The 10,505-nt window shown below is 35.0% G+C and overlaps 1 long non-coding RNA gene across 2 annotated transcripts in view; it reads right to left on the bottom strand.

Annotated features, from left to right (window-relative positions):
* Nucleotides 1-1,426: 1,426 nt before the first annotated feature.
* LOC105378810 (uncharacterized) overlaps nucleotides 1,427-10,505 on the bottom strand; it is a 136,420-nt gene continuing 127,341 nt past the window's right edge. For both annotated transcript variants that reach the window (XR_001738113.2, XR_001738112.2), the window contains exon 4: nucleotides 1,427-1,702. This is a non-coding gene — a long non-coding RNA (uncharacterized LOC105378810). The remainder of the gene's footprint in view (nucleotides 1,703-10,505) is intronic.

Below are 10,505 nucleotides of genomic sequence, written 5' to 3'. Positions count from 1 at the left end.
GTGTCGCAAACTCTCATTACATATGGAAAAAGCACACAATCCACTAACAAAGATTCATCAACATTTGGTAGCAACCAAATATACATAGGGTAAATTATGTAATTAATATATTACATGTATAGTGTGAGAAACTAAGTTTGTGGCTGTGCATCTGATCCTAGCATCTGACTGAGAAATACAGAAAGTTAACCAAAGAAGTTTGTTTTTAATATTGCTTACAGAAAGGCTTGTGGGGAGTTATTTCAGGTCCAAATATAGCAAGCATAAAATTAAAGCAAAAGCATGGGACCACAATGGAATTAAGATGAATGGATCACACCAAACAGGTGTTTACTTACTTACTTGTCAATTACAGGCATGTTATAATCGACAATAAAATTGTGGCTCCATGCTGTTTGAGTTCTTATATAAAATGTCAAATTTCTTAAGCTATGAAGAATTTAGTGCCAATCAATCTGAAGAAAAAGCACTGTTGATTTTGATCGACAACTAACTGATTTTAACAGAATATGATATCTAACTTGTCACATCACAGATCAGATGAATGATTAATTTTGCCTTCCCAAATAGAAAAAGATAAAATCAATGAAGTATGTTTTCTGCACCATTATTATACTGGCATCGTTAGGATGACATCGATTGTGAAATTAAGGACTTTCTTCACTTTCTGCTGGTAGCAGGACTGAACCTGCATTTTCCAAGATCAACTCTTCAGCATCAGAAGCTTTGACAGCTCTGAAGGGGGGAAAAAGCATTTGTATTCTCAATAGAAAGTACAATCACAGGTATTGATGCAGTTATAGCTTGAAAGCATATTCTTATGCATTGAAAGTGACTCAGTAGGAAAATGGCGTGGGTTTAAGTTTTAATAATGCCACAGTAAAGAACAGAACAAGAAACTTAAATTATATGTACCTCGGGAAAGTAAGATTCTACATTTACTTTGCAACTCTTGACAGGTATAGCCATATTTGACCCTTGGTTGACATGTACAACTCTCACAGCATTGGCTAGATTACAGTTTACTTGTTGGAAATCGCACTGCTAGCCATAGTTAGCAACATTCAAGAACCATGTGAGAGGTTATATGACACAAAAATAAGACATCTTCCTCTAAGTAATTTTTCAAGAAATTATCCCAGCATTTTTATTCTCTTTGCCTCTACATTCTCCTTTGCTATAAGCTCCATGCTCTATATGATTTTCATTCCATGCTTGTCAAAGCCAAAGATTCAAAGAAAGGAGAAAACAACAACAAAAAGTACTCAGTACCTTCCTGCAATGTTTTTACAGCTGGCAGAAAAAAAGATGAGATGCTGGATTTTTATCCCAGAGGATTTAGAGATAAATTCTTGGCCTCAGACATGGAATTTGGTAAATACAAACCAACTAGTATAGTGGTCACTACCGGTTGTTTACATAAAAGTATCTGTTAATTGTTATCATTTTATTTAAATTCCCTTTCTAGAGTCATATAGCCACAAGGAGAATCATGTTGGTGAGTTTTGAGAACACACCAGCAGTCACAGTTTCTCCCAGGATGTCCTAGGAGAAGGCAGGTAAGAGACTTCATTCTTCTTGCATCAGTGAGAGTCAGCAAATGAAGAGCTGGAGAGAGGACTTGCCCTTCTTCAGACCAAGATGAAGTTTAGGATTTAGCGGATCTTTGGGAAAATCCAGATAGCAGAAAACAGTGAAATCCCTAGAAAAAAAAAAGAACAGCCTGTTTGCTGTTTATGATAAAGGGAGAACCACCCCTGACCTGCAGGATAACTTCAGGGTTAAGCTACATCTCAGTTTCCCGGTTGGGAAAGGGCTTTGATTTACACACAAGAAAATCAGGCCACATCAGGATTCTTTCCCATTCTTCAGCAGAAGGGTAATTTTCTCCAGTTTGTTATCAACTAAATCGCAAGAACAGAAATTTCTATGCCTTTATTCCAAAATTTACCTGCTGTTTTATAGAACTATATGGTTGCTGATGAAACATTAAAAGGTAAAATAATATATTATTTTAAAAGACTGAGGGAAAATCAAGTTTAATTTTAAGTAGTAGAAATGAAAATACACATGGAGAAGCAATTAGAGCACAAAATGTATTCAACAACACATATTATATAATTTTTGAGTGTAAAAACTCAAGACAGAAATTGGAAATTAGAAGGATCACTGTCAAGGTGAGATCTTTTAATCTTGAAGATCAAGTAGAAAATAAAATTTTATAACACTAATAAAAAATAATTTTACAACACTGACAAAAAGGAATGCAGCTGAGCACAATGACTCATGCATGTAATCCCAGCACTTTGGGAGGCCCAGGTAGGAGGATCACTTGAGGCCAGGGGTTTGAGACTAGCCTGGGAAACATAGTGAGACCTTCGTCTCTACAAAAGAAAAAAAAAGTTAATTAGCCAGGCATAGTGACACTTGCCTGTAGTCCTCATTCCTCAGCAGGCTGACGTTGAAGAGCCACTTGAGCCCAGGAGTATGAGGTTTTAGAGTGACCTGTGATCATGATTGCACCTCTGCACTCCAGCCTGGGCAACAGAGTGAGACCCTGTCTCAAAAAATAAATAAATAAAAAGGAATGTAAGTCTTGAAGGAAAAGCTAAAAGGTAAGAAAGGTATATCTACGGACTTACAATAGGAATGCCAAAAGGAGAAAAAAGAGAAACGAGTGGAAAACTAATAACTGCACAATAAAAGAAAAAAAAACCTTCTGAGCTGAAGTTTGAAATTGCATGTGGAAAAGACTCACAAACTTTCAGCCAGAATTAACACAAATTTCTAAATTCCACATTAAAAGATAAAACCTTATCCCCTAAGATGAGGGGAAAGAGGTTCCATATTACAATACGTGAATCAGATTAGTGCTACAATTTTCATCTGAAGCATTAGGAAGCTATGACATAAAAACTAAAGACTATTGAACAATGAAAACACTTGGACACAGGAAGGGGAACATCATACACCGGGGCCTGTTGTGGGGCGGGGGGAGGGGGGAGGGAAAGCATTAGGAGATATACCTAATGTAAATGATGAGTTAATGGGTACAGCACACCAACACGGCACATGTATATATATGTAACAAAACTGCATGTTGTGCACATGTACCCTAGAACTTAAAGTATAATAAAAATACATATATATAAAATAAAACACAAAAAACTAAAGACTATTGAGCAGAGATGCTATAATTCCATGATCTTGCATCTGATCAGGTAAAAAACTAATAGAATTAATAAAATAATTTGGTATAATGGCTAGATACAAGATCAATAATACATATTAATAGGCTTTTCTAGAATAGATATAGCTACTTAAAACTGAAAATAGTCCATTTAAATTACATTGAAACTATAAAAAATATTGGAGTGAACTATACAGTAGAAGGGTAGAGTCCCTTTAGAGAGAGCTTTAAATGCATAAGGGCATGAAATAGATCCTAAGTAAAGGGAAAAACATGTTGTATTCCTGCATGGCAAAACTCAGTATCATGTAAATGTCATTTCTTGTATGTGTGTGTGTGTTATCATTCATTAATTCAATGAATATTAATTTTTGTTACTTTGTATATTGAGAATGCAATGATAGAAGTGGGATGCAGAAAATAAACACATTATATGCTAAACAGAGTAAAATGCTATGAAGAAAAATAAAGCAGTAAAAGCAAACTGAAACTGTTGTAGAAATAGAAGTTTCTCACAGCGTAGTCAGAAAAGGCTTCAGTGAGAACATGACATTTGAATGCAGACCTAAAGGGGATAGGACAGCAAGCCATGTGGCATCTGATTAAAGACCCTCCCAGGCAGAGGAAGAAAGTACAATGTCTCTGAGTTGAGAATATGTAAGACACTAATACAGCTGAAGTGGAGTAAGCAAAGGGTAAGGTAGTGAGGGAAAACCAGCTCATATCATTGTAAGTATTTTTTTTCACTCTGAGTAGGATAGAAAGTCACTGGAGGGCCTTAAGCAGACAGAAACATGCTCTGAGTTTTTGACAGGAAAACTCTTGTTGCCCAATTCACCATACTAAGGAGAGCCAAGGCAGAACAGGAAGAACAGTTGTGAGGCTACTGCAGTGGTCCCCGTGAGAAATAAAGGTGGCACAGGCCAGGTGGTAGCCAGATTTTGTGAGATGTGATCATATCCTGGATATGTATGAAAGCTAAAGCCCTGATACTGGCTGTTTGGTGTGAAGGAAAGAGTGAAATTAAGGATGAGATCAAGATTTTTTGCTCGTGTACACATAGGATATTACCATTAACTGAGAAAGGAAGGGTTGCAGCAAAAACTCAGTGTTGGGCATGTTAAATGTGGGCTGTGTATTTGAAATATCCAGATGAAAATATAGCCGGTTATACTTGAGTCGGGAGCTTAGGGGAAAAGATCCAATGCTGTTACTATATAATCCAATTATCATTCAAATGAGGGATATTTTGGAACCTCCATAAAATTGATTTTAATTAATTTAAAATTTCAGGTGAAACAAAAATGTCTGTGAAAAAATATAGGAATATTGTAAGAAAGACTGTACAGAGATATTTGCCTTACCAGATAGCAAAACTTAATATAAGCTCAATATAATAAAAATTATATGGTATTGTCAAAGGAACAAAGTTGTATCTGTATTAAAGAACATACAGAAATAAAAATTTCTGTACATAAGAAAATATACAAATATAACAATGTTACACAAATTATATAATGTAATACAAATATAACATTGCCTTTCAGTAAAAAATGAGTTATTTAGTAAGTATTGGTAGCATGTCAAAGAAGACTACTCTTCATGCCCATATACAGAAATATGATTATATTATAATTATTATATTCAACATAGAAATTTAAACATTAAATATTTGTTTTAATCAAGTTTAGCAAAGCTTCTCATTCCAAATTTGAGGAAAATTGATTATTTAGAAATTAAAATTTAGAAAAATTAAGAACTTGGCCAAATTAACATAGCAATTTGATCTGTATTAGACCACCATTAAGTGGTAAACTAGAATGTGAATCGGTCATGTTCTGAAGCATATCATTTTATCCCCATGCTAAATGATGAGTCTGGTCTTTCGTGTATACAAGATAACATTTGATGATTTTGCAGAAGATGCAAGATGAGGCTGTACTCTAATTTTTGACTCCCAGTCTTTGTATTAAGACCATGCTGCCTTTAAAATTGGATGCAGTGATGTTCTTTGATCTGTATTAGACCACTACAGGAGGCTCCAAGTTTTCAGAAAGGAATCTTCAAGCTAGAGCTTAAATTTGAGGTTCAGAGAAGACAAGGTGGGAGTCCCAGGTCCCTTGATCTCACTTATATTTCTATAATTTTTCACAATTGACCATTCTGAGTCCTGAAACTTACTGAAATGTTTGTCTCTACACTAGTCTACCTCTTTCCAAATCAACCTCTATGATACCCATTCAATCACTTTCTTTTTCCCTATATAAAGACCACCTATTCAGACTGGTTTGCTAAAGCAATTAGGTCTCCTCTCTTATATCTGAAACCTCCCTTTCATCATACTTCTGAGGAGTGCTAGGAAAGCTATAAGACAGTGAGAAGTAACAAGACTCAGTGTGATAATGGGAGATCACTGCCCCTAAAAATCTCATTTATGATCTTCATGGCAAACATTCTTCTATGTAATAAAAAAGTATAATTTCTATGTCTAGAGATTAATTTCCCTCTTTTAGGCAAAAAATATTTCACACAATTCCCCGAAGATCACTTCCAACATTCCATAGCATATGTTTGAAAAATTAAGACATAATCCTTCCCAAAACTGATAACATCATTAATAAAATAAGCTATTCTGAGGACAGTGTTGGTCAGTTAAAATTTAATAAATTTCCAAATAGTTGAATGGCTTACTTTTTCCTCAGTAGACTAGAAATATGAATTTTGCCTATGATTGTTTTTAAATTTTTAATGCATGTTACGAGAATGAGTGTGGACATTAAATAAGCCTCTATTTATTTGTTTATTTATTTATTTATTCAGACATGGAATTTTGCTCTGTCACCCAGGCTGGAATGCAGTAGCATGATCTCAGCGCAATGTCTGCTTCCCAGGCTCAAGCAATCTTCCCACATGAGCCTCTTGAGTAGCTGGGACTACAGGCATGCGCCACCACACCATTATTATTATTTTTTATTTTTAGTAGATACTTGGTTTCACCAGGTTGCTTAGGCTGGTCTCAAACTCCTGGGCTCGAGTGATCTGCCTACCTCAGCCATCCTAAAGTGTTGGGATTACAGATGTGAGCCACCACAACCGTCCTCTAAGAAGCCTAGGTTTAATGCAAGCATAGGATTATAAGACTGGAAATAAAATTGTATTACGGTCTGAAAGATTCATACTCTGCAACTGAGCAGAGTATGAACACATTCCAGACTCAGGTTGATTCAACTTCCACATCTACTTTAGCCCCTGGGTGTAATTGATAGGTGGATTGTGACTTCTCCAATGCACACATACTTACCGCTCTTAACCATATGAATTTTATAAACCCCCAACACACTATAACTCCTTCTATTGTCATTAAATCACAAAACCACAATGTAAATAGAAGAAAAAAACAGACGCTCCTAAATATGATCTTTCAAACACTAGCTTCAGAAATACAAAATAGAAAAATGCATCCCCTCAAAACACACCACACGTAAACTCAAAGCTGCATAAAAGTGCAGTTGTAAAAAATGACAGAAACTATAAAGGTTTGGACCATAAAATATCCTGGTTTCATGTTTCATATTTCTTTGAGATAACCTGCAACCTTCACTGGTAATATGCCTGTAAAAACCGAAAGTGAGTTATTTGAATTTATTTTACTGGAAACAGCTTAAAAATCACTGCTAAAGGAATTCTGACATTTCCCACAAGGAATTCTGGAGAATAATGACATAGGAGAACCACCATTGCAAGCTCTAGTTAGGTAGGGACATGTGACATGTGACAGAGCCACATGTCATAAAGACATTGACAAATCTCCCAGCTGAAATTAGACTCTTCCACCCCTATTATTTTGTATGTTTGTTTAACATAATGGAGCCATCTTGGTGTATGCCCCACTTGAATCCCCTTTACTGGCTGAAACTCTCAACCCCTGTTGAGTGCACATACAACCTTTTCTGAAGCCTTGCCCTGGACTGACGGGGTCAACTCCTCTCCACAGGTCTGAAAGTCTACATCCCCCTGGCTCCAAGGCAGAATTCCTATACAATGCAATTCACTCCCCATAATACTCCCAGGATAAGGCTAAGGACACAATTTACCTAATTGTATTCTGGTCAGCTCTTTCCTCTTCCTCATTTTTTTTCCCCTCATTCATGCCCAGATTTTCCTTAAAGAGCATTATTTCAATAAATTTAGGAATCTAAATTCCTATTTTAGTCTCAGTTTCTAGAAAATACAACCTAAGATACACAATATGTTTTCTCTTTATAAACTATTAATATACATATTTATTTTGCCATGGGTTTAAACTCTGAAAGAAAGGGATAAACCTCATATCCATCTTATGAAAATAAACTCCTTATTTGTTCTTCCAATACCTAGTTCGCAACCATCTAATCATCCCGTCTTTCCTTTTCTATTTAGTTGTAAATCCAGAGGTGGCCTAGATTAGAAAGAACATTCACTTATGTCATCTTTGTTTACTTAAAAATGAGCATGCTTGACCAGGAGTGGTGGCTCACACCTGTAATCGCAGCACTTTGGGAGGCTGAGGCGGGCAGATCACGAAGTGAGGAGAAGATCGAGACCATCCTGGCCAGCATGGTGAAATCCTGTCTCTACTAAAAATACAAAAATTAGCTGGGCATAGTGGCACGTGCCTGTAATCTCAGCTACTCGGGATGCTGAGGAAGGAGAATCGCTTGAACCAGGGAGTCTGGGGTTGCAGTGAGCCGAAATCACACCACCGCACTCCAGCCTGGTGACAGAGAGAGACTACATCTAAAAAAAAAAAATATATATATATATATATATATATGAGCATGCTTATTTTTTACCGCTTATCTCATGTCTTTATATGTCATTGTTTTCTTACTTGGCCATTTCCACCTCCCCTAATAGCCCTCCTATATTAAAAATGAATAAAATAATTTAGAACTGGATAAACAGTATGTTGAGTTGTGTATGTACATATTCATGTACAAGCATAAATACCCCCATCCACTTAGAAAATAAGTATATATCAATCTTAACCTTGTTAATTTTACATTGAAAAAGAAAATCAGGAAATATATTTATCTTCTTTTCAAAATCTATGGTTTTGTAACAACTAGAAAACATTGCACATTAACTTAAACATAAGTTATAATATGGTTGGGATCTGTGTCCCTGTTCAAACCTCAGTCAAATTGTAATTCCCAACATTGGAGGTGGAGCCTAGTGGGAAGCAATTGGATCATGGGGGGTGGATTTCTCCACTGCTGCTGTTTTCCTGATAGTGAGTTCTCATGAGATCTGGTTGTTTAAAAGTGTGTGGCACCTCCCCCTCTGTCTTGCTGCTCCAGCTACGTGACATGCTGGCTTCCCCTTCATCTTCCACCATGATTTTAAGTTTCCTGAGGCCTCCCCAGAGGCCCAGCAGATGCCAGAATTATGTTTCCTGTACAGCCTGTATAACCTTGAGCCAATTAAACCTCTTTTCTTTATATATTACCCAGTCTTAGGTATTTCTTTGTAGCAGTTTGAGAACATATGAATACAAGCTCCAACATTCTAGAGATTTGCCGTAATAGAACAACTTTATCTAGAAAAAAAAGAATAGAAAGACCATGGTAACATAAGTTTTTATTGTCTCAATAATATTACTTTACTTAATGGACTGACTTTACAGGCCATTTTAGTAATCTGAATTACCTGCTGTTTTATGTTGCAATATGACTATCTTGAAAAGAGTGGCTGTCTCTTTTATTGATTATATCTTTTAGTGCTACTCTTATTTCTGGCACTGAAGAAAATTATTGACATTCAGTAAATGGGTATTCAATGTAAATTTATTGCATTATAGTTCAGTTTGTCTAACTCTAAACCATATTCAGTTGTTATGTAGACAAAGATTGTTCCTCACATTCTGTACAACAAAGTAAAAAAGGAAAAATTCATACGGAAAAATTTTGTTTCTAACCAAATCTATGAGGAAAGGATTCTTCTTTCCCCATAAAGGATTTCCTAAAAAAGGAGGACAAGGAAGATAAAATAAAAGCAGTTTTTAACAGCAATAGCATATTAAGTTTAACAGTTCTCAAAACTTAAGAAATAGATTTTTCTATTGAATCTAGATATTTTGAAAAGTGATCTAAAATAGTGTGTTACTAGCATGTAATAAAAAACATATAGAAAATTATATCAATTTCTTACTAAAATCTTTCTTTAATCTGCTTTTTAAAATTTCCATTCCAACTTTTCACAAGTTTGCTAAACTTTATATTGAACCAAGTCTAGGCACTGCTTTTAGATTTTTTTTGTCATTTTTTCATCTTCATCTAGTTTATAAACATATTATCTGTCAATAAAAAAAGTTCTCTGGTGGACTTCTCCCTCTACTGACCAGCAGAAAAAAACAACTTGAGTGTAAATTCAAAGGACTAATATGATTTCCCCACAAAAGTTAATATAGGAACCCGTATTTTCTAGCACAGAAGAAATCTACAAATCTGTTTTGTCCTGTTTTAAGCACTATTTAAAATTATTTTATTTACCTGTTCTGAGCTACGTATTGCATCTGTTCAGGTGCAAATCACTAGTTTTATTAAGTGCATATATGTATCACATGTTCTGGTAAATAAATAAGGAAATGAATAAATGCATTAAGAAAGAAAAAAGTAATTTTAATGAAACTGATATTTCAGGTTATTTTTTAAGAACACTACAAAACTATAATATAGCCACAGAGAATTACATAATTGTTGCAAGCATATGTGATAACAATATAATTTTTAAAGGTCTATCAATCTGTTTCCCTTTTCCCTGACTTATGCATTTCATCTACTCCAGCCATTGGCCATTATATAAATGCTGACTATATGGATCAGATGACATTTTGATATTTTGTAATAGTTACTGAAATATATTTTGCACTCATAATTGGTTTTCTTTTTTAAAATTTATTTCACCCTATTGGAAAATACAGTTGAATACAATCAGCTATTATATTAAGATTTTTTTGCATGTGTGTATATAGGTACACACACACACACACACACATATATATCTCCTACATATTAGATGCTTCCTTAACATTTTAATATAAAATTCATATGGTCAAATTAGTAGCATTCTGAAATACTTCATGATTTGTGATATTAACAAAAAATTACTGATAAATGGACTATGGATTTTTGTTGTTGTGTTAATGCACTTAAATTTGTACAGAAGTTTTAGGTTCATAGCAAAATTAAGACGAAAGTACAGAGAGTTCCCATATGCACATGCACAGCCTCCCATATTCTTAACATCCCCCACCAAAGTAGTACATTTGCTACAA

The sequence above is a fragment of the Homo sapiens genome, chromosome 1 (genome assembly GCF_000001405.40).
Source record: "Homo sapiens chromosome 1, GRCh38.p14 Primary Assembly".
Classification (NCBI taxonomy): domain Eukaryota; kingdom Metazoa; phylum Chordata; class Mammalia; order Primates; family Hominidae; genus Homo; species Homo sapiens.
Note: the sequence above shows the minus strand (reverse complement) of the source record. Positions and strands in the feature narration are given on the sequence as shown.